The sequence below is a fragment of the Homo sapiens genome, chromosome 19 (assembly GCF_000001405.40).
Source record: "Homo sapiens chromosome 19, GRCh38.p14 Primary Assembly".
NCBI classification, from domain to species: Eukaryota; Metazoa; Chordata; class Mammalia; order Primates; family Hominidae; genus Homo; species Homo sapiens.
Genome location: NC_000019.10, coordinates 44576190 through 44600608, shown reverse-complemented (window position 1 = coordinate 44600608; position 24419 = coordinate 44576190). Strand labels below are relative to the sequence as shown.

Below are 24419 nucleotides of genomic sequence, written 5' to 3'. Positions count from 1 at the left end.
TTACTAATAAATAGAAGATGATGCATGCAGCGTTTTGCATCCCCAAGATGAATAAACAAAGTAGGAAAGAAAAGTGCCAACTTCGGTTGTGCTGTGCTAGGACGCCTGAGAATCTGGGCCAGTCATTTGGACTCAAGAATCTGTCACTTTCAGCTGTATCTCATTCAAAGGTTAATGGTGACATTAGGTTTTCCCATATCTTGGAATAATATCCACATCTGCCCAGTTGTCTCTTGAAGAGTGGCATTTGGAAAATTCTTGACTTCTTGCAAAGCTGAGACGTCTACAATGGTGACAACTTGCAGTCTTTAAGTTTTAATTGAGTTTCCCCTCTGCCTCTTGGTGTCGACCCCACATTTACAAACATTTTCAGGGACATTCCTCCTTGCCTCCTGTGTTCCTGTTCCTCATCCCATCCTATGCTTAACTGAGCCGGGGCTGTGTTTAGACGAGAAAACCAGCCCCTCAAACATGACTTTGGATGCTTTTGGCCATACAAAGTGGATAACTCAATTCAAAGTGGTTTAAAACACTGACGTGTATTATCTTATGTAGCAGGGATTCCAATGAAAGGGCAGTTCCTCGGTTGGTTAATACAATGGCTCAGTAATAACACCAAAGATCCAGGTTCTTCATCTTCCTACCCCAGCCTCAACAGGTTGTCCTCTCATGGTGACTTCCCTCCCAGTCCAAGATGGTGGCCAGCCGCATCCAGAGACACAAAAGGGGAATTGCTGCTCCTAGTTCTCTTCAAGATCCAATAAAATCTCTCCCATCAGCCCCCAGCAGACTTCTTCTCACTAGGCATTGGCCAGAACAAGGTCCCATGCCCATTCTTCTTTCCCTTTTCTCCAACTGTCCAAAGAATACCCAACGGTTTCTGCTCCCAACTCCCAATTCTCACTCATCTAGAGAGCTGGTCAGGACCCTAACAGGTATGCCTGAGAGAATAGTTATGTGCTACCTGGGCCAGGTTGCCCTCTGCTCTTCTCCTAGACTGTCCGCCATTTGCCACCAAATTCTTCCTGTTGCTTGTCTACAATGACCCTGTCATTTGGGCTGTAACAAGAGTAATCTATCTTGTGTGAATGATATATAGAAGCTATTGTTATTGTTCTATCTCATCCTGCTCCACCTTGCCCTGCCCTTCTCTGGAAGTGGATACAGCGGGGGATACCCCACTCAATCTAGTTCTTACATCCCCTTCTCATCCCAGGTGGCTGTGGACCAGAATCAGGACCAGTGCCTTGCCCACCTTGGTGGGAGCCATTTATTGTGCTCTGTGTGAATGGTGTCCCCTGGTCGTGGAGGTGTGTATTTTGGGTGAGGACAATGGTAAGATAAGGGCTCGTCTAGATGGGGGTGCAAGACTGGATCCTTCATCTCTGGGTTGGGGAGGTGAAGAAGATCGGAACTCACCCCATTTACAGTTCCTGAAGATCACCAGGTAAACACTCCCTCTGGCTGCCACACAGGAAGAGTGGATTGTTGATTCACATTGGCTCCCAGCTGGGCAGGGCAGGGACCTTGTCCTGGCTGGGGCTAGGATTCTTATCAAGAGTTTCTTCTGGCTGGGCTCCAAAAGGCGATTAATGGCTGCTTGGCCTTGGGCCTGTTCCCCAGGTTGCCATCTGCTCCAGGTTAGTGACATCCACTGGCCCACTGTGGATAGTTTTTGGTGGAATCAGTTCTCCAAATGTCTGTCAGGAAACTTTTCAGTTTAGAGACCCTCAGGGGCTGAAGGTTTAGGATGCCCACCATCTCTACAGAAGGAAGAAGGTTTTGGAAGAGACGCTTCTGATGTCCACATCCTCTATGTCCTTGGTAATACATACCCTGATTTTTAAATGGATGCATGGGAGTCCAGCAAAAAATATATTCTCTAGGTTCCCTGGAGCTAAGTGTGGCCATGTGGCTGACTTTTGGCCAATAGATAGAAGTAGAAGTGTTATATGAGGCTACTAGGAGCTGGCCTTAAAGATAGCTTTTGTTCCTAATCCTTTCACTACTGAACAGAATGTGGATATGATGGCTGGAGCTCTGGCAGCCATCTTGGACCCCAAGTTATGTACTGAAGATGACAGGCCAGTAATAATTGAAGGAGGCTGTGTCCCCAGGATTATGAAACTGCCACATTTGCCCTGAACTCTCTACCTCCAGACTCCATTTATGTCAAAGAGAAACTTCCATCTTGTTGAGGCCATTTGATTTTGGGGTTTTCTGTTACTTGCAGCTGAAGCTAGTCTTGACAAAATGCTCTCTCTGGGAGGAGGAATGCAGGATGCATCCTGTCAGGGCAGGTGTAGCTCTTAAGGTTCTTTTGGGTCTATATGGCAGGAGTCCAACTTGAGGCAGTTTACACACAAAGGGAAATTTGTTATAAATGAGTTCCAAGACAGGAGAGCACAGAGACACCCAGAACCAGAGGTTCCAATCCCCTCAGGGACCTCTCTCTCTCATTGTCCCTCTCTCTCTCAAAGTGCCTCCCAAAGTGCTGGGATTACAGGCATGAGCCACCACACCCAACCTCTATTTTTAATTTTTTGAGGAGCCACCATACTGTCTTCTACAACAGCCATACTAGGTTGCGTTCCCACCAACAGCACACAAGGTTTCCTTGTTTGCTGCTCCACATCCTTGCCAATCCTTGTTATTTTCGTTTTTGTGATGGTAGCCATTCTAATAGCTGCGAGGCAATATCTCATTGTAGTTTAGATGTGTCTTCCGCTAATGATTAGGGATAGTTGAGTATCTTTTCATGTACTTATTGGCCATTTATTATGTTCTTTGGAGAAATGTCTATTCAAGTTCTTTTTGCCCATTAAAAAAATTGGATTTTTTTTTAAAATAGTTGTATTCTGGAAGTTTTCTATATATTCTGGATATCAATCTCTTATCAGAAATATGATGTGCAGCTGGGCATGGTGACCCACATCTGTAATCCCAGCACTTTGTGGGGCTGAGTTGGGAGAATTTCTTGAGCCCAGGAGTTTGAGACCAGCCTAAGCAACGTAGTGAGAACTCATCTTCACAAAAATCTAAAAAATTAGCCAGGCATGGGGCAGCACGCACCTGTGGTCCCAGCTACTCGGGAGGCTGAGGTGGGAGGATTGTTTGAGCCCAGGAGTTTAAGGCTGTAGTGAGCTGTGATTGCACCACTGCCCCCCAGCCTGGGTGACAGAGCAAGACCCTTTCTCAAAAGAAAAAGAAAGAAGGAAAGAAGTAAAGAAAGAAAGAAAGAGAGAGATAGATAGGAAGAAAAAGAAAGAGAAAGAAGAAAGAAAAAGAGAGAGAGAGAAAGGAAGAAAGAAAGAGAGAAAGAACGAAAGAAAGAAAGAAAAAAAATATGATTTGCAGATATTTTCTACAGGCGCACACCTGGCAGGCTGAGGTGGGAGGATCACCTGAGTCTGGGAGGTTGAAGCTGCTTGAGCCAATACTGTGATCCTGCCACTACACTCCGGCCTGGGTGACAGAGTGAGACACTATCTCAAAAACAGGCAAACAAACAAACAGCCTAAATCATATCTCGCCCCTTCTCTGCTCAAAGGCTCCAGTCTCAGGCTGAGTCAAAGCCAAAGTCCACAGTGACTGTCTAATCCACACCCGCCCCCTCCCGCCCTGCAGTTCTCCGCCCTCTCTTTTTACCCTCTCCCCTCACTCACTTTCCTCCAGCCACACCCTCTATCCCTGTTCCTCACACAGCCAGGCTACCCTCCAGCTCCAAGTGGACCTCTGCCCTGGGACGCCCTCCCGTCTAGATGGTCCTCTCCCGGATCTGCCCTGGCTTCTTCCCTCACCTCCTCCAGGTCTGCTCAAGCATCTCCTCCTCCAACCTCCTAGCATTGTAACATTTCTCATCTCCCTTCCCCGTTCCTGCCTTCTCCATGGCATTGACCATCCTCAGACAGACCCTGTAATTTACCCATTTGCCTTGTTCATTGGCTGTCTCCCAGCTGGACGTCAGTTCCTCAAGGGCAGGGACTTGGTCCTGCACCCTGCCACATCTCCAGCACCCAGCACAGTGCCTGGCTTCATTAATTCATTAATTCTTTCATTCAACATTCAACTATGAAGGCTCAGCTGAGTTCCAACTGGCAGGAGTGTTCGTTAATTTTTTTTTTTTTTTTTTGAGGCATAGTCTTGCTCTGTCACCCAGGTTGGAGTGCAGTGGAGCAATCACTTCATTGTAACCTCAAACTCCTGGGCTCAAGAGATACTCCTACCTCAGCCTCCCAAGACCACAGGTGTGCGCCACCACACTTAGCCTATTTTAAAAGAATTTTTGAGGTGGGGCACAGTGGCTCACGCTTGTTATCCCAGGACTTTGGGAGGCTGAGGCAGGCAGATCACTTGAAGCTGGGAGGTCGAGACCAGCCTGGCCAAAATGGTGAAACACTGTCTCTACTAAAAATACAAAAATTAGCCAGGCTTGGTGACATGTGCCTGTAATCCCAGCTACTCAGAGGCGAGGCAGGAGAATCTCTTGAACCTGGGAGGTGGAGGTTGCAGTGAGCAGAGATCATGCCAGTACACTCCAGCTTGGGTGACAGAACAAGACACCATCTTGTTTTGTTGTTCAGGCTGGTCCGGAAGTCTTGGCCTGAAGCAATCCTCCTGCCTCAGCCTCCCTGATTGCTGGGATTACAAGCCTGAGCCATCGGGTCTGGGAATAGCTGTTGAATGGGTCGGCCAAACAAATATCCCAGTGCTGCCTTCCTCCTAAGCCCCACTCAAGTCCTCCTGGCTGCCCGCAAAGGCAGCTCCCTTTCCTTTCTTTCCTGGTGATCACTCTCCCGTCCCTGGCCCCTAACTATGACCTCTTCTAAAAGTGCCCCTACCCCCAGGCGCACCTCATTCCTCCTTCCTCTGCTCCACATCCCTTAGTCAATCCCTTCATGAAAGCATGTTTTTCACACTGCAAAAAAAGCACACAGTGAAGCTGTCCTATTCTATAGGCTTATATATAAGCCTATAGAATATTTTTTTTGAGGTGGAATTTCACTCTTGTTGCCCAGGCTGGAGTGCAGTGGCGAGATCTCGGCTCACTGCAACATCTGTCTCCCGGGTTCAAGCAATTCTCCTGCCTCAGCCTCCTGATTAGCTAGGATTATAGGTGCCCACCACCATGCCCAGCTAATTTTTTTGTATTTTCAGTAGAGACGGGGTTTCATCATGTTGGCCAGGCTGGTCTCGAACTCCTGACCTCAGGTGATCCACCCTCCTCAGCCTCCCAAAGCGCTGGGATTAGAGGCATGAGCCACCGTGCCCGGCCAGAATACATGTTCTTCTGGGGCTCCACATCAATGTCCTAGGCTTACACCTGCATTGTCCTTCCAACTGTCTTGGGCAGGTGACTTTGTGCACACGATCCTCTTTCTTCCTCTGTGGAAGGATGACGATAACTTCTACCTCACTGTGTCATTGTGAGCACTCAGTGACACATGGCGTGTAAAGTCCCTGGCACAGAAAATAAATTCAATAAGAGGGGGACGCAGAGGGGGACGTCCACATGTGTCAGGCCTCGTGTTTGTGCTTGGGAAATTGTAGGGGTGGGTTGCCCCTCCACACCTGTGGGTGTTTCTCGTAAGGTGGAACGAGAGACTTAGGAAAGAAAAAGACACAGAGACAAAGTATAGAGAAAGAAATAAGGGGACCCGGGGAACCAGCGTTCAGCATATGGAGGATCCCGCCAGCCTCTGAGTTCCCTTAGTATTTATTGATCATCTGTGGGTGTTTCTCGAAGAGGGGGATGTGTCAGGGTCACAAGACAATTGTGGGGAGAGGGTCAGCAGACAAACACGTGAACAAAGGTCTTTGCATCATAGACAATGTAAAGGATTAAGTGCTGTGCTTTTAGATATGCATACACATAAACATCTCAATGCTTTACAAAGCAGTATTGCTGCCCGCAGGTCCCACCTCCAGCCCTAAGGCGGTTTTTCCCTATCTCAGTAGATGGAGCATACAATCGGGTTTTATACCGAGACATTCCATTGCCCAGGGACAGGCAGGAGACAGATGCCTTCCTCTTGTCTCAACTGCAAGAGGCATTCCTTCCTCTTTTACTAATTCTCCTCAGCACAGACCCTTTACGGGTGTCGGGCTGGGGGACGGTCAGGTCTTTCCCTTCCCACGAGGCCATATTTCAGACTATCACATGGGGAGAAACCTTGGACAATACCTGGCTTTCCTAGGCAGAGGTCCCTGCGGCCTTCCGCAGTTTTTGTGTCCCTGGGTACTTGAGATTAGGGAGTGGTGATGACTCTTAAGGAGCATGCTGCCTTCAAGCATCTGTTTAACAAAGCACATCTTGCACCGCCCTTAATCCATTTAACTCTGAGTTGACAGAGCACATGTTTCAGAGAGCACAGGGTTGGGGGTAAAGTTATAGATTAACAGAATCTCAAGGCAGAAGAATTTTTCTTAGTACATAACAAAATGGAGTCTCCTATGTCTACTTCTTTCTACACAGACACAGTAACAATCTGATCTCTCTTGCTTTTCCCCACAGAAATTTATGGTCAGTAAAGGAGATAAGACTGATGCTATCTGGGCCAGAAGATGGGAAAGCCCAGTGTTCTGGGGGTGACTTCCTGCTTGAAGCAGGAAGCTGGGTCTTCAATTGTTCATTCATTCATTCACTCGTTGTTCAGCTATGAAGGCTCAGCTGAGTTCCAGCCAGCAGGAGTGGGTGGGGAGTGCAGAACAGAAGGAAAGGCAAGCCTGGTTGAGGGAACTCAGCAGGCAAAGGACCAATGCTAAAGGGGCTGGAGCCAAATCTGGCTCTGAGAACCAACACGATCCTTGCTCATTTTGAAGCACCCCAGTTCTCGGTGCACTGGATGGATCTTACATGGCAGAAGGGATGAGGGTCTCCCTGGGGTCTCTTTTATAAGAGGGCACCAATCCCATTATGAGAGCTCCTCCCTCATGATCTCATCACTGACCCAAGCCTCATCTCCTAATACCATCACCTTGGGCATTAGGATTTCAACATATAAAACCTTTTTATTTCAACATATAAAATAAAATAATTTATTTTTATTTTAATTTACTTTATTCATTTTTATTTTATTTTACATTTATTTTATATTTGTATTTATTTTATTTTACATTTATTTTATATTTGTATTTATTTTATTATACATTTATTTTATATTTGTATTTATTTTATTTTACATTTATTTCTATTTTATTATTTTATATTTTTATTTATTTTATTTTTGTCTTATGACCTCACTAGAGTAGTTGAGGGCATTACTCCCAACTTCTTCCACTCGTCAAAGCAGTCCATACATTTATTTTTATTTTTATTTTTATTTTTTTGTGTGTGACAGTGTCTCACTCTATCGCCCAGGCTGGAGTGCAGTGGCACGATCTCAGCTCATTGCATCCTCCGCCTCCCGGGTTCAAGCAATTCTCCTGCCTCAGCCTCCCAAGTAGCTGGGACAACAGGCGCGCACAACCACGCCTGGCTAATTTATTGTATTTTTAGTGGAGATGGGGTTTCACTATGTTGGCCAGTCTGGTCTCAAACTTCTGACCTCAAGTGATTCGCCTGCTTCAGCCTCCCAAAGTCCTGGGATTACAGGCATGAGCCACTGCACCCAGCCTATTTTTTTCATAGAATAAAGTGAAAGCAAGTTTTTTAAGAACGTAAAGGAATAAAGAGTAGCTACTCCATAGGCACAGCAGTGGCATGGGCTACTCGGCTGAGTACATTTACAGTTACTCTTTGATTATATGCTAAGCAAGGTGTGGGTCATTCATGAGTATTTCAGGAAAGGGGCAGGGATTTCCTGGAACTGAGGGTTCTTCCCCTTTTTAGACCACATAGGATAACTTGTGGACATTGTCATGGCATTTGTAAACTGTAATGATGCTGGTGGGAGTGTCTTTTAGCATGCTAATAATGTGTTATAATTAGAGTAGTGAGGACTACCAGAGGTCAGTCCTGTCACCATCTCGGTTTTGGCTGGCTTCTTTACCACATTTCATTTTATCAGCAAGGTGTTTGTGACCTGTGCTTGCCTCCTATCTTGTGCTGGCCTCCTATCTCGTGCTGGCCTCCTATCTCATCCTGTGACTATGAATGCCTAACCTCTTGGGAATGCAGCCCAGGAAGTGTCAGCCCTATTTTACCCAGCTCCTGTACAAGATGAAGTTGTGAAATGGCCTCATTTCTGAGGTGACACCTGAGGTTTGTTGTCTCACGGCCATGGAGAACTGGGACACGGACACACAAAGAGTGAGGTTACTGCATAATTTGTGGTAGTGGGTGACTGCGTTTACACTTTCCCCTGGGGGGAAAGAAAAGAGTGAGGTTGACAGCAGAAGTTTAATAGGCAAAAGAGAGAGAATAGCTGTCTGTTACAGAGAGGGGGTCCCAGAAAAATAGGTTGCTGGTCCATGGTGAAATGCAGGGGTTTTTATAGATGAGCTGGTGGGGAGGCAGTACCTGCTCTACATAGGGTGTAAGAAACTGGTTAGGACCAGGTGTTCCATTTGCACAGGGCATGAATTTCTGGCAGCCCCCACCCCAGTCTTATTATGCAGGTGGGTTTTCAGCCTGAGCTGCACAATGTTATCCATTTCTTTCTTACTGTATACTTGCTAACAAAAAAGGGAAGATTGAGCTTTCATGGTGGACATGCCTGCCCCGCAGGTAGCCCTTTTCTTTCTTTTTTAGAATCTATTTTTATTTTTATTTTACTTTAAGTTCTGGGATACATGTGCACATCAGGCCTCTGAGCCCAAGCCTGCATGTATACATCCAGATGGCCTAAGGCAACTGAAGAACCACAAAATAAGTGAAAATGGCCGGTTCCTGCCTTAACTGATGACATTACCTTGTGATATTCCTTCTCCTGGACAATTAGTCTCTGGAGCTCCCCACCGAGCACCTTGTGACCCCCACCCCTGCCCGCAAGAGAACAATCCCCTTTAACTATAATTTTCCACTATGTACCCAAATCCTATAAACATGCCCCACCCCTATCTCCCTTTACTGACTCCTTTTTTGGATTCAGTCTGCCTGCACCCAGCTGATTAAAAAGCTTTATTGCTCACACAAAGCCTGTTTGGTGGTCACTTCACATGGACGTGCATGACAGTGCAGAACATGCAGGTTTGTTACATAGGTATACATGTGCCATGGTGATTTGCTGTACCTATCAACCCGTCATCTAGGTTTTAAGCCCCGCATACATTAGGTATTTGTCCTAATGCTCTCCCCGCCATCCCCCCACCTCCTGACAGGTCCGAGTATGTGATGTTCCCCTCCCAGGTAGCCCTTTTCTATTGGTGCAGCTGCTGGCTCTCCCCCATGCAAGCTTCTAGCTTCCTTATTTATGTTTGCAGCCCGATTTTTCAGGCTGCTCTTTGTTAGGAAAAATGATTTCTTGGGCTACTTTTTGTTAGAAGGGAAGTTCTGCTGAGAGCTCTTTTGCCCTCACTATCTGCCTAAATAATTTCTGTCTCCTGTGTTAGTTGCTCTGGTCTGAACACCTCTGGCAATTCTGTAACATAGAGTCATCTTTCCAGGAGACTCTCTCCCTTGCTGGCTTTGAGGAAACAAGTGGTCATGTTGGGAGGCCCATGTGGGCAAAATCCAGCAAGAAATGGAGATCCTCAGTCCTACAACCAGTTAGCAATTGAATGCTGCCAATGTAGCAGAACAAGCTACAGACAAAACCCCTCAGACACTGACTTAAAGAAGGAAGGGCTTTATTCAGCCAGTAGCTTTGGCAAGACTCACGTCTCCAAAAACTGAGCTCCCCTAATGAGCAATTCCTGTCCCTTTTAAGGGCTTACAACTCCAAGGAGGTCCGTGTGAGAGAGTTGTGATCGATTGAGTAAGCAGGGGGTATGTGACTGGGGGCTGCATGTACCGGTAATCAGAACAGAACAGAACAGGACAGGGATTTTCACAATGCTTTTCCATACAATGTCTGGAATCTGTAGATAACATAACTGGTTAGGTCAGGGGTCGATCTTTAACTACCAGGCCCAGGGTGTGGTGCCGGGCTGTCTGCCTGTGGATTTCATTTCTGCCTTTTAGTTTTTACTTCTTCTTTCTTTGGAGGGAGAAATTGGACATAAGACAATATGAAGGGTGGTCTACTCCCTTACCAACGCCCTGGTTTCCAAGCAGATCCTTCCCGAGTTGAGCCTCAGATGAGACAGCAACTCTGGCTGACATTTGGTTGCAGCTGCAAACCAAAAAGTATCTAAGACAGGTCTCAATCAATTTAGAATTTTATTTTGCCATGGTTAAGGATCATGATCCATGACACAGCCTCAGGAAGTCTTGAGAACACGTGCCCAGGTGGTTGGGTTATAGCTTAGTTTTATACATTTTAGGGAGACAGAAATTATAGGCAAAGACATAAATTGATACATGTAAGGTATACATTGGTTTAGCTCAGAAAGGCAGGACATCTTGAAGCCGCAGAGGGGGCTTCCAGGTCCCAGGTGGATTTAAAGATTTTCTAATTGTTGCTTATAACATAATATCTGAAACTGTGTAATTTATAAAGAAAAGGAACTTATTTCTTACAGTCATGGAAGCTGAGAAGTCCAAGGTTAAGGGGCCACATCTCGTGAGAGCCTTCTTGCTGGTGTGGACTCTCTGCAGTCTATAGAGTGCAGGGCATCACATGACAAGGGGCCATGCTAGCTCAGGTCTCTCTTCCTCTTCTTATAGGCTACTAATGCCACTCTCATAATAACCTATTAATTCATTAACCCATTAACCCATGAATGGATTAATCCATTCATCAGAGCAGAACCTGCATGACCCAATCGCCCCCTAAAGGTCCCACCTTTCTATACTGCCACATTGCCTATTAAGTTTCAACATGAATTTTGAAGGAGACAAGCATTTAAACCGTAACAACGTGGTTTCCATATTTGATATGAGAATGATTATTAAAGTTCAGGTCCTCTGTCCTGTTCTCTGTGTCCTCATCTAAAATTTGACACATTGGCCAGGCGTGGTGGCTCATGCCTGTAATCCCAGCACTTTGGGAGGCTGAGGTGGGTGGATCATTTGAGGTCAGGAGTTTGAGACGAGCCTGGCCAACATGGTAAAACCCTGTCTCTACTGAAAATACAAAAAAAATGACCTGGGCATGGTGGTGTGTGCCTGTAATCTCAGCTACTCAGGAGGGTGAGGCATGAGAATTGCTTGAACCCAGGAGGCAGAAGTTGCAGTGAGCTGAGATTGCACCACTGCACTCCAGCCTGGGTGACAGAGTGAGACCCTGCTCCAAAAAATAAATAAAATAAAATAAAATAAAATTTGACACATCACATTAAGTTAATGACAGAGACAAATTTTCTTTTTCCTTTTCCACCAAAGGAAAGCCATATGGAGTCAATTTTAGAAAATACAAACTGAAATATTAGCTATTAGTACTTTTTTTGGTAAAAGTATTGGTGGTGTGTGGGAACATATTATTGATGAGATGTTAGATGCTTGTTTTCTGGGCTCGCATGATAACCTGTGATGAGGACTCTGTGTTTTTGTCCCCAAGATCTGCTCTCTGATATTCAACCTTCTCCATCCTCCTCTGTGTCCCAGAAGGCCACCTGCATTAGTTATTTATTGATGTATGACTAATTACTCCAAAATGTAGTGGCTTAAGACAATAAAACATTTGTTATCTCATAGTCTCTTTGAGTCAAGAATCTGGGCTCAGCTTAGCCAGGTCTTTTCCCTCTGATGCGATCAAGCTACTGGACGGGGGCTGCAGTGTCATTCAAAAGCTCAACTTGGGATGAGGGTATGGGGTGATTGTTCTGCTCCCAAGCTCACTCAGATGGTGTTTGCTACTGGCAGGTAGCTTTCCCCTCAGAAAGTGATTCAAGACAGAGTGAGAGAGAAGTTGAAAATAGAAGCAACAGCCATTTTGTAACCCAATCTGAGAAGTGACAGCCATCACTTTCTGCTGTACTTCATTCATTAGAAATGAGTCACTAGGTACAGCCCACACTCAGGGGGAAGGAATTAGATGAGGGCATGAATATAAAGAAACAGGGATCATTGGTTCTTGCAACTTCTCTCTAGTAAAGGAATTGCAGTAGACTTGCATCATACACACATTTAATTTATGAAATTTTAACTATAGAAACAGGTGGAAATACAGCTCTAATTTGAGGCAGCAGCTCCATCTATGGCTCAATGGTGAAGCTGTATTTTGCAGATTTGTCCTGTTGGGTACTGAGCATCTCTGTACACACTGTAAGTATGCATACAGCTACTGCTGTACAACATTTTATGTATAAAACCACATTCACTGCATGCATAGGGGATTTAAGACATATTCAAGGTGAAACCGAGCTAACCTCAATGTTCACCTTCACTCCTAAACCTAAAGAATGCTTTCACTTGATTCAGAATTCTGGGTTGACAGTTGTTTTCCTTTCAGCACTTAAAAAATGTGCCACCAAGATACAGGTCATAAAGACTTTGCTGATGAAACAGGATGTGGTAAAGAAGCCAGCCAAACCCACCAAAACCAAGATGGCGACAAAAGTGACCTCTGGTCATGCTCATTGCTCCTTATGTGCTAATTATAATACATTAGCATGCTAAAAGATATGCCCACAAGCACCATGACAGTTTAGAAATGCCATGGCAACATCTAGCACTTACCTTATATGGTCTAAAAAGGGGAGGAACCCTCAGTTCCAGGAATTGCCCACCCCTTTCCAGGAAAATTCATGAATAATCCACCCTTTGTTTGGCATATAATCAAGAAGTAACTGTAAGTGTACTCAGTTGAGCAGCCCATGCCATTGCTCTGCCTATAGAGTAGCCATTCTTTTATTCCTTTTCTCTCTTTCTTTCTCTTTCTTCTTTCTCTTTCTTTCTTTTCTTTCTTTCTTTCTCTCTCTCCTTCCTTCCCTCCTTCCTTCCTTCCTTTCTTTCTTTCTCTCTCTCTCTCTTCCTCTTTCTTCTTTCTCTTTCTTTTCTTTCTTTCTCTCTCTCTCCTTCCTTCCCTCCTTCCTTCCTTCCTTCCTTCCTTCCTTTCTTTCTTTCTTTCTTTCTTTCTTTCTTTCTTTCTTTCTTTCTTTCTTTCTCTTTCTCTCTCTTTCTTCGTTTCTCTCTTTCTTTCTTTCTTTTCTTTTTTCCTTTCTTCCTCTCTTTCTTTCTTCTTTCTTTTTTGAGACAGTCTTGCTCTGTGGCCCAGGCTGGAGTACAGTGGCAAATCTTGACTCGCTGCAACCTCTGCCTCCTGATTCTCATGCCTTAGCCTCCCAAGTGTCTGGGATTACAGGCATGCACCACCATGCTCAGCTAATTTTTGTATTTTTTGTAGAGACAAGGTTTCCCCATGTTACCCAGGCTGCTCTCAAACTCCTGGCCTCAAGCCTTGGCCTCCCAAAGTGCTGGGATTACAAGCGTGAGCCACTGCCTTGGCCTCCCAAAGTGCTGGGATTACAGGCATGAGCCACTGCACCTGGCCTATTCCTTTTCTTTCTTAATAAATTTGCTTTCACTTAAAAAAAAAGTGCCACTTTCTTCTGGCCACTATGGTTCCTGATGAGAAATCTGCCATCATCTGAATTGTTGTTTTGGTATAAGTGATGTGTTTAGTTTTCTCTGGATGCTTTCGAGATTTTTCTTTGTGTTTGATTTTCCACAGTTGGATGATGATATGTCTGGGTGTAAATTTCCTTGGAAAGGATCCCTGACATTGTGTGAAGCATTGTGCATACATCTGCATATTCTGAGGAAGGGCCTGAAGCTTCAGTCCAGGATCACACAACTTTCAATGCATTTTCAAAGGAGTCCAGGACTCCGTGATCATTAGCAACCAGTGGTTTCTATGAAGTTATTGGAGGTGGCTGGAAGGCTTGGGGAGCTTGAGGATAACTGGCAAGATATGATCAACTAGCGCATCTGAAAGGGGTTTAAACTTCCCTGAAATTATTTGGCCACTTGTGTGGTTCAGTCTATTTGACTGGAATTTCCCTGGGTGAGGGGAGCTGAGGAGTTAAAGGTTGTAGGGACTGTGGAGGACCTTGGTGACTCCAAGGAGGCTTTTAGGATCCTTATTCTCTTAATACTCTATATCTGCCCTTCACTCATATAAATACCCATGGGAAGTGAAAACATGTGCTGGCCATACAGACACAGTTTCTGGAGAAGTCCAGGCTTCTCTTCCAGCCCTGTTGCTGCCCCAGAGATTCTGATGCCCCCACAGGGAGGGTCCAGGGAGGAGATTCTCCCCCATCATGGGAGAGGGGTGCGGCCATGTGGGGTTCCCAGGAGCCCAGCTTGAGTGCCAATACCCATCAAGAGGCTGGGCTCCATCATTCAAGAACTCCGTGGGTTGGAAGACAATGCTCAGACTTGATATAAGGAGATGCAAAATATGGACCAGAGGCAGCCCAGCCAGGGGCTCCTCAGCTAGAATGGAGTTGGTCTGGTCTCCCTTGCACATTGGGGTTTTATGGCAAAAAGACTGGGCATGTCCAACTGGCTTGTCTGCTATAAAAATCCAGAATGAGATTACAGGTTTAAATCACAGCATGTTTTTCCAACCAGTCTGGTTCTTAGTCACCCACCATCCCCGACTGGGCTGAGGAAAAGATGAGGTAGGAGATAGGTTGGCAGGACTTATTTCTCAGTCCTGAAGGGACAGAATGAAAAAACTGGCAGGAACCAGCAGATGGCAACAAAAGCAATCCTTAGCTGCCCTCATTGTGCATTAGCACAAGACATTCTCACCAGAGCCATGACAGTTTACAAATGTGTGGAAATCACCCGGAATTTACCACCATTTTCCTAGAAAATTCTAAATGACCCACCTCTCGATTTGCATTGACCTACCCCTTAATTTGCATGTAAGTGAAAGTTGGTATAAGTGGGTATAAATACAGTTGGCAACAGTCCCTACCTTGCCTGCTCTGAGCACATTACCTATGAGATAGCCCTGCTCTGCAAGGAGCAGTACTGTGCAATAAAAGATTGCTGTCTAACGCCACCAGCTCACCCTTGAATTCTTTCCTGGGCAAAGGCAAGAACCCTCCTGGACTAAGCCCCAATTTTGAGACTTGCCGGTTCTCCAGCAGAGAGGGTGCCCCTCTAATGAGGATGCATGTGTGGCTTTGCTGAGTGGTAAGTGCACTGCCCTCATCCTCAGGAGACTTGTTGAAGGTGGAGAGGCCCTTCTGTGTGACCCTCAGGGCTTCTCCCAGTTGGACCATCCTGAAGGGTCCATGTGGACTTGAGTTCAGTCTGTTCAAATTGACACCAGAATCATATTTGGTCTGCACCCAGCCAGACCTTTCTAGGTGGGAAAAAGTATAAGAAGTGAAAGCTGTCAACAGCCTGGCTTCCAGAAATGAAAGCCTCCAAATTGGTTCAAAGAGCAAATTGGAAATGCTTCAAAGTACAAGCTCTGGGTTTGAATTCTGGCTCAGCTATTTTCTAGCAGAGTGACATTTGGCAAATTACTATACCTCGCTGAGCATCTGTTTCTTCTTTTGTAAAACAGAGATTACGATATAGGTTTTTCATGGGTTATGTTACTTCACTTTATTTTATTTTTTTTGAGACAGAGTCTTGCTCTGTCACCCAGGCTGGAGTGCACTGGTGTGATCTTGGCTCACTGCAACCTCCGCCTCCTGGGTTCAAGCGATTCTCCTGCCTCAGCCTCCAGAGTAGCTGGGATTACAGGTGCCTGCCACCACACCTGGCTAATTTTTTGTATTTTTAGTAGAGATGGGGTTTTGCCATGTTGGCCAGGCTGGTCTTGAACTCCCGACCTCAGGTGATCCACCCACCTCAGCCTCCCAAAGTGCTAGGATTACAGCCATGAGCCACCGCACCTGGCCTATCATGGGTTATCATGGGTTATGTTATTAAAGGAGATCATGTATGTGGCATGCCTAGCAAAGTGCCTGGTACAGAGTAACCACTCACAGGTTAGCTGGTATTCTCATTTATAATTGCTGGTCTTGCAGCTTTTCAGTCCATGTCTACAAACAAGGTAAAATGCATCACGGCAGTCCAGGCCTTTCTGCTGGCTCTTTCCCCTGCACTAGCCCTGGAGATGCCTCAGAAGCTGGAAGCAGGACTAATGAGGCAACAGAAGGTGGTTGGGTTCTGGATGAGGGTGAAGTCGTGGGTGGGAGCATTCCCATTGTAGAAAGACTGGTGCCACGGGTGGGGAGAGATTTGGGGTCTGCCCTTCTTTTCCATTAGCATTACCTGACCAACCCCTACACTCCCCACCACCACAGGGAGCCTAAAAAACAGCAGTCAGCCTGGGCGCTGTGGCTCATGCCTGTAATCCCAGCACTTTGGGAGGCCAAGGTGGGCAGATCATGAGGTCAGGAGTTTGGGATCAGCCTGGCCAGCATGGTGAAACCCCATCTCTACTAAAAATACAAAAATTAGCTGGGTATGGTGGCAGGCGCCTGTAGTCCCAGCTACTCGGGAGGCTGAGGTAGGAGAACTGCTTGACCCCAGGAGGCAGAGGTTGCAGTGAGCCAAGATCGAGCCATTGCACTCCAGCCTGGGCAACAGAGCAAGACTCCGCCTCAAAAAACAAAAACAAAAACAAAAACAAAAACAAAACAAAAAAAACGGCAGCCAAAGCTAGGACAGGCAGTATAGCATTGAGAGTTGCTTCTGCCCTGTTGGAGGGTGAAGGGGTGTGATTAACACAGGTGCAGGGTCCTGTCCTGTCCCTAACTTTGCCTTTTAGACTCTTTCCTGTCACTTGCTGAGAGCTAGGGTGTTACAACAGAGGGATACACACACACGGGAATAAGAGAGTGCAGAGGCAGAAGTGTGGACTGGGACGCCCAAAGCTCCGCACTGTGGCTCCTTGTCCCCCAAGCTCAGCAGGGGTACAAGCCAGTGCCAGTGAATGGCCACCAAATACTTGAACAGTGTTTATAACAGTTCTCTTTCCTGTTGCTGGATATAATTAATATTTCACTTTTTTTTTGCTCCATGTACATATAAACATTCGTATCCCAAGGTGGTTTTAAAATACATTTCCATCGCTAGTGAAGCTGCCTATCTCTTCTTAAGTTTGATAGTCATTTGAAGATGATGTCCTCTGTGAGTTGCCTATTCATGTACTTTGCCAATTAAAAAATTGTGTTGAATCCCAGCACTTTGGGATGCTAAGGCAGGAGAATTGCTTGAGCCTAGGAGTTTGAGACCAACCTGGACAACATAGTGAGACCTCATTTCTACAAAAAGTTTTAAAAATTAGCCCAGCATGGTGGCACAGGCCTGTAGTCCCAGCTACCTGGGAGGCTGTAGCTGGAGGATCACTTGAGCCCAGGAGATCTAGGCTGTGGTGAGACATGATCATGCCATTGCACTCCAGCCTGGGTGACAAAGCAAGACCCTATATCTAAAAGAAAAAATGCATTGTCTCTTTTTTTCCTGTTGCTTTTCAGGAACTCTGTGTATATTAGGGATTTTGAGCACTTGCCAGTTGGGTTATCCTTGTCAACGCTGTTGTCCTGGGACACCAATGGGGCCGTTGCCATGAGTGACCAACAGGGGGCAGAGCTGCCCTCGGCCAAGCGGGGACGACGTCTCAGCTCAGAGTTGGGAAGAATATTCAAGGCATCTGCTTGTGCCTGGGCTTGCTCTGGGTCCTTATATCCTTCCTATATCATCTTCTTTTCTTCTTTCTTCTTTCTTCCTCCTCCTCCTCCTCCTTCTTCTTCTTTTTTCTTCTTCTTTTCCGTCCTCCTCCTCCTCTTCCTCGTCTTCTTCTTCCTCTTCCTCTTCTTCTTCCCCTTCCCCTTCCGCTCCTTCTCCTTCTTCCTCCTCCTCCTCCCCTTCCCCTTACTCTTCTTCTTCCCCTTCCCCTCCTTCTCCTTCTTCCTCGTCCTCCTCTTCCCCTTCCCCTCCTTCTCCTTCTTCCTCCTCCTCCTCTTCCCCTTCCCTTTCCCCTTCTCCTTCTCCTTCTCCTCCTTCTCCTTCTCCTTCTCCTCCTTCTCCTTCTCCTCCTTCTCCTTCTCCTCCTTCTCCTTCTTCTTTTTGAGATGGAGCTTTGCTCTTGTCACTCAGGCTGGAGTGCAGTGGTGCAATCTTGGCTCATTGCAACCTCCACTTCAAGCAATTCTCCTGCCTCAGCCTCCCAAGTAGCTGGGATTACAGGCATGCCAATACTAATTTTTGTATTTTTAGTAGAGACAGGATTTCACCATATTGGCCAGGCTGGGTCTCAAACTCCTGACCTCAGGTGATCCACCCACCTCAGCCTCCCATAGTGCTGGGATTACAGACATGAGCCACCCCGCCTGGCCCTTTGATTCTTATCTTTGAGATTTCTTCGTTAACTAAGGGAGGGGCATCAGTGGGGATGGCTATTACACTTTCTGTGGGTCTCATCAGTAAAATCCCTAAATCCAGGAGCAGTGTAATGCAGTGGTTAAGAATGCAGGCTTTGGCATTAGATGTGGGTCCAAATACCAACTCCTCCCCTTATAGGGTGTGTGGCTGGGGGGCTTTTTGAGCCTCTCTGTTCTAGCCTGATGGCCATGGGGATGGAAACTTGCACTTAATTTGGATTCAACTGCTCAGTGCAGGGTCTCACACATTCATTCACAAAATATTTATTGAACACCTACCATGTGCCAGGCACTGCGCTAGGCTTTGGGCATTTACAAGAGTGAACAAAACAGGCAGAGGGGCCAGGTACAGTCACTTGCACCTGTAGAATCACCTACTTGGGAGGCTAACGTGGGAGGATCGCTTGAGCCCAGGAGTTTAGGACCAGCTTGGGCAATATAGCAAGACCTCATCTCTAAAAAAATAAAATAGAATTAAAAAAACCAGGTAGAAATCCCTGCCTTTAAGGGACTGATATTAGGGAGAGCAATCAACAAACACAAATCAGTGGAGAGTGTCACACGGCGATGAGTGTGTTGGAAAGAAATAAACCAGACAGGTGGGACAGGAAGTGCTAGGCTGTACACAGGACAGCCAGGGAAGGCCTCTCTGAAGAGGTGACATCTGAACAGGGTCCTGACTGTGGTGAAGGAAAAAGCCATGTGGCTATCTTGGGAAGAGTGTTTGGGGCAGAAAGTAAAGCAAATGCAAAGGCCCTGGGGCAGGACTGTGCCCTGAGTGTTGATGAACAGTGGAGAGGCCAGTGTGGCTGGAGAGCGGGGAGTAAGGGAGGAAGCGGGAGATAAGGGTGGGGCAGGGATGGGGCCAGACCATGGACCTTGCAGGCCAGTGTTGGGACTTAGGCATTTTCCTGAGTGAGACAGAAGCCACAGGAAGCCTCTGAGCAGGCAAGGGACATGAGACAACTTAGGTGTTAGCAGGAGGGCAGGAGCAGGGAGCCCAGTGAGGAGGCTACTGCAATGGTCCATGTGGGAGATGGTGCTGGTGTGGGTGGAGCTGGTGAGAAGTGGTTGGATTCTGGAGAAATTTGAACGCTGAGCTCAGGATTTGCTGTTGCATCGGCAAAGCTGGTTTCTCAGTAAATACAAGTTTCCTTTTCTTTCCAATGAGCCTCCCTGAAGCTCCTGAAGATTTTCATTTCCTGTCTCCCACCTGAGTCTTCAGACTGGGCCAGATATGCAGGATGAGACTTCTGGCTGAGGCTTGAGCCAAAGACTGGAATCCAGTCAGGGCCAGATTTCAGACTCCTTGTATGGTCCTGGGGGGATCACTTGCTCTCCTGGGGCCTCTGTTTCCCCATTTATACAGCAGGAAGCCAGGAGGGGAGCATGCAGTCCCCTGCCCTCCCACGTTTGCCTACCATGAGGATGATTGGGAAGAGCAAAGGGCACGAATGCTGGGCCAGAGACATGACCAAAGAGGAGAAGTTAATGAGACATTGAACAGTTGTAAACCGAAGAGGGCTGTGCCAGTCCCTCCCTGGCTGGCCACCAATGCCCCATGGGCACGGCCCTCATCATGGGGACAGAAGGCTGGGCCATCTCCTCTCTGGGCTAGGGCTCCGGGCAGGACACACAAATCGGCTCACTCTGGGGTTCTTGCAGTCTGTTCTCCGCAAACCAATGTCCTTCTAGGAGGAAGCACTCCTAAAGGACCCATGGCCCGGTTCCTGGTTGCTCCCCATGGCTGGGGTGAGCCCTGGATGGGAGCGTTGCTCGTAGGTGAGGGTGTGGCTGAGAACTGAGGTTGGGGAGGGCATTTCTCAGAGGTTATATCAGAGCTCTAGTCTTGGCTGGTCCCATTTCCAGCTTCCCAGAGCCTGCGTACCTGACAAATGTGCATTGTCCCAGACTCACTCTATTAAACAATCATGTCTTAAAGGGGAAGTTGCAGGGCAGGGAATCTTTGAGTAGGACAAGCCAAATTAATTTCTTGCTCCACCTCTGTCATCTGTGTGATCTGAGGTAAGTCACTTGACCTCTCTGATTAATTTCCTTATTTGCAAAATGGGGCAATGATTGTACTTCCCCTTCGGGCTGCTATGAAAATCAAAGAAACCCCATTTTGAGAGCCTGGAAAATAGTAGGCAGGAGGCTTTAGGCGATGATGAACAGAAATGATGAAACGATAAAGAAGGTAGGAAAATAGGATAGTCCCGTAACTGATGATACTCTCTGATACTTACCGAGCACTGAGGATGGGCCAGGCCCTGCTCCAGGAGCTTGACATAAACAGTCTAGTCCTCTCAGCTCCTCTACAAGGGGGCACTGTGAATTAATCTGCTTTGCATTGCTATAAAGGAAAACCTAAGGCTGGGTAATTTACAAAGAAAAGAGGTTTATTAGGCTCATGGTTCTGCAGACTGTACAAGCATGGCAGCATCTGCTCAGCTCATAATGAGGCTTCAGGAAGCCTATCATCATGGCAGAAGGTGAAGGGGAAGCTGAGTATCACCTAGTGAAAGAGAGGCAAGAGAGATACCAGGCTCTTTTTTTTTTGAGATGGAATTTCACTCTTGTTGCCTAGGGTGGAGTGTGATGGCACAATCTCGGCTCGCTGCAACCTCTGCCTCCCCGGTTCGAGTGATTCTTCTGCCTTAGCCGCCCAAGTAGCCAGGATTACAGGTGCCCACCACCAGGCCAAACTACTTTTTTGTATTTTTAGTAGAGATGGGGTTTCACCATGTTGGCTAGGCTGGTCTTGATCACCTCAGGTGATCTGCCCACCTTGGCCTCCCAAAGTGCTGGGATTATAGGCATGAGCCACTGTGCCCAGCCTTTATTTTTTTATTATTTATTATTATTTTTTTGAGATAGGGTCTCACTCTGTCACCCAGGCTGGAGTGCAGTGGTGCAGGCTTGGCTCACTGCAACCTCTGCCTCCCAGGCTCAGGTGATCCTCCTGCCTCAGCCTCCCAAGTAGCTGGGACTACATGTGTATGCCACCATGCCTGCCTAATTTTTGTAGAGACAGGGTTTCACCATGTTGCTCAGGCTGGTCTCGAACTCCTGGGCTCAAGTGATTCTCCTGCTCCAGCCTCCCAAAGTGCTGGGATTACAGGCATAAGTCACTGCACCCGGCCTGCCAGGTTCTTTTAAACAACCAGCTTTTGCATGAATGAACAGAGCGTGAATGCCTTCATTACCGCAAAGATGGCGCCAAAGCCTCATGAGGGATTGCCCCATGACCCAAAAACCTCCCACTAGGCCCACATCCATCATTGGGGATCACATTTCAACATGAGATTTGGAGGGGACAAACATCCAAACGATATGACACTGTTACTATGGGCCCCATTTTCCAGATGAGGATGGAGGCCCAGAGGCAGCACCGTATAGTCGCCGATGCCATGGATTCAGATTTGGCTCTGCAATTTGCACTGTGTGAACTTCAACAAGCCATTTAAACTCTCAAGGCCTCAGTCTCCTCATCTGCAAAATGGGTAGCTCTAACCCCTGCCTCACAGGGTTGTTGGGAGGTTCAATGAATTGCCATTTGTAAAGCACACAGAACAGTTCCCGGCACACAGCAAACGATTAATAAGTGTTTAAGAGAAAACAGGCCAGGTATGGTGGCTCGAGCCTGTAATCCCAGCACTTTGGGAGGCTGAGGTGGGCAGATCACCTCAGGTCAGGAGTTCGAGACTAGTCTGGCCAACATGGTGAACCTTGTCTCTACTAAGAATACAAAAAATTAGCCGAGTGTGGTGGTGTGCACCCATAGTTCCAGCTACTTGGTAGGCTGAGGCACGAGAATCACTTGAACCTGGGGGGCGGAGGCTGCAGTGAGCCGAGATCACACCACTGCACTCCAGCCTGGGCAACAGAGTGAGACTCTGTCTCAAAAGACAGAGAGAGAGAGAGAGAGAAGGAGAGAGAGAGAGAGAGAGAGAGAGAGAGAGAGAGAGAGAGAGAATAGCCAGAGATGTGGGTAAATTGCCCAGAGTCACAGAGTCACATAGCCATGTAAAGCAGGTGTTAGAATCAGAGACTGGCTCTGGAATCTTCCCTGTTAATCACCCCATAGCATTGCCTTTTGAGCAATAAGGGAGGGCACTTAGGGACCCTGAGGAGGTACCCAATCTGCTCCCAGGAGGCCAAGAAGCTTCTTGGAGGAGGTGACATCTGAATTTATCCTGGAAGGAAGAGCAGGAGTTAATTGGCAAGGGGAGGGCAGGAATTTACAAATGTAAAAAGCCCAGAGGAAAGAAAAACAGTGCACATTCTCCATGATGTGGATTTAATCTGAATGGCATGTGCTGTTCAAGCAAGTGATCAGCAAAAGACAGGACTGGGGACAGGGCCAATGGATAGATCAGGAAGGGTCATGTGTATAAATTTATTTTGCACATCACAGGTTATTTTCTCAGGCTGAATTCCTGAAAATAAAATAGCTAAGTCAGATTTTAATTCTTGATACATGGCATAAAATTGCCCTTCGAAATTATTGTGGCAATGTAGCCTGCCATGAAATGTACATGAGAGTGCCCATTTCTGAACATCCTTGCCCACACTGGGCATTATTGTTTTAAGATGCTTTGGTGATTTTATATTACTAAAGGTTTCCAAGGGGAGGGTAGACATTGAAGTCCTGGGGACAATGGTGTTTGAGGAAGAGGGGCCTGGAGGGGTGTGCAGGGAAGATACCAGTTGGGAAGGAGGGGAGGTAAGAAGGGAAGAGACTGGTTTGTGGATTCGACATGTAACAGAGGCAACTCCTAATGTCTTTTAGGTTTGAGATGCTTCTGATGGGGAAGAAATCTCAATTAGAAAACAAGACTTCCTGAGAAGGTCCCCATCCTTAACCCTGAAGTGACAGGAAGCTCATCACCTCCCCTCCTGAACAGCCTATTACACTATCTGGTCCCACAGACACGTTTCTGTTACCATCCATACTAGTTTCCAGCGGTGGTTTTGGCAAATTATTTAGGTTGGTGCAAAAGTAATGGCAAAATCTGCAATTACTTTTGTACCAACCTCATACTACAAACTTGTTAACCTAAAACAACAGCATTTTATTCTCTCACTGCTCCAGAGGGCAGAAGTTGAAATCAAGGTGTGCATAGGCCGAGCTCCCTCTGCAGGTTCTAGGAGGAACCTCCCTTGACACTTCCAGCTTCTGGTGGCCCCAGGTGTTATTCAGCTGATGGCTGCATCAGTCCAGTCCCTGCCCCAGTGTTCACATGGCCTTATCCTCTGTGTATCTGTGTATCCGTGTCTTCTCCACTTCTCTCTCTCTCTGTCTTTTTTTTTTTTTTTTTTGAGATGGAGTCTCACTCTGTTGCAAGGCTGGAGTGCAGTGGCGCAATCTCGGTTCACTGCAACCTCCATCTCCTGGGTTCAAGCGATTCTCCTGCCTCAGCCTCCCGAGTAGCTGGGATTACAGGCACCTGCCACCATGCCTGGCTAATTTTTGTATTTTTAGTAGAGACAGGGTTTTGCCATGTTGGCCAGGCTGATCTCAAACTCCTGACCTCAGGTGATCTGCCCATCTCTGCCTTCCAAAGTGCTGGGATTACAGGCATGAGCCACCTTGCCCGGCCTTCCTCTTCTCTCTCTTATAACAACACTTTGTCATTGGATTTAGGGCATAGCTGGACAATCCAGCATGACTTCATCTCAAGATCTTTAACTTAATTACATCACGAGGATCCCTTTCCAAATAAGGCCATATTCTCAGGTCCTGGGTGGACATATTTTTTTTAGGGGGCCACCATTCAACCCCCTAAACCATCATGATCATCTTTTTTTTTTTTTTTCTTTTGAGACGGAGTCTCGCTCTGTCACCCAGGCTGGAGTGCAGTGGCGCGATCTCGGCTTACCGCAACCTACGCCTCCTGGATTCAAGCGATTCTGCTGCCTCAGCCTCCTGAGTAGCTGGGATTACAGGCATGCACCACCATGCCTGGCTAATTTTTGTATTTTTAGTAGAGACGGGGTTTCACCATGTTGGTCAGATTGGTTCCGAACTCCTGACCTCGTGATCCGCCCACCTCGGCCTCCCAAAGTGCTGGGAT

General features: G+C 46.8%; 5 annotated features.

Moving 5' to 3' along the window:
• Positions 3625-4449: an enhancer, noted in NCBI's record as "H3K27ac-H3K4me1 hESC enhancer chr19:45099482-45100306 (GRCh37/hg19 assembly coordinates)". NCBI's record gives its function as "activates a minimal SCP1, AML or CMV promoter by ChIP-STARR-seq in naive H9 embryonic stem cells {active_cell/tissue: H9 hESC(naive)}" and the evidence as "EXISTENCE:reporter gene assay evidence [ECO:0000049][PMID:30033119]".
• Positions 6101-6926: an enhancer, noted in NCBI's record as "NANOG-H3K27ac hESC enhancer chr19:45097005-45097830 (GRCh37/hg19 assembly coordinates)". NCBI's record gives its function as "activates a minimal SCP1, AML or CMV promoter by ChIP-STARR-seq in naive H9 embryonic stem cells {active_cell/tissue: H9 hESC(naive)}" and the evidence as "EXISTENCE:reporter gene assay evidence [ECO:0000049][PMID:30033119]".
• Positions 10659-11158: an enhancer, noted in NCBI's record as "H3K27ac hESC enhancer chr19:45092773-45093272 (GRCh37/hg19 assembly coordinates)". NCBI's record gives its function as "activates a minimal SCP1, AML or CMV promoter by ChIP-STARR-seq in primed H9 embryonic stem cells {active_cell/tissue: H9 hESC(primed)}" and the evidence as "EXISTENCE:reporter gene assay evidence [ECO:0000049][PMID:30033119]".
• Positions 21781-22312: an enhancer, noted in NCBI's record as "H3K27ac-H3K4me1 hESC enhancer chr19:45081555-45082086 (GRCh37/hg19 assembly coordinates)". NCBI's record gives its function as "activates a minimal SCP1, AML or CMV promoter by ChIP-STARR-seq in naive H9 embryonic stem cells {active_cell/tissue: H9 hESC(naive)}" and the evidence as "EXISTENCE:reporter gene assay evidence [ECO:0000049][PMID:30033119]".
• Positions 23334-23628: a silencer, noted in NCBI's record as "tiled region #3461; K562 Repressive DNase unmatched - State 12:CtcfO". NCBI's record gives its function as "represses a minimal TATA promoter and a strong SV40 promoter by Sharpr-MPRA in K562 cells {active_cell/tissue: K562}" and the evidence as "EXISTENCE:reporter gene assay evidence [ECO:0000049][PMID:27701403]".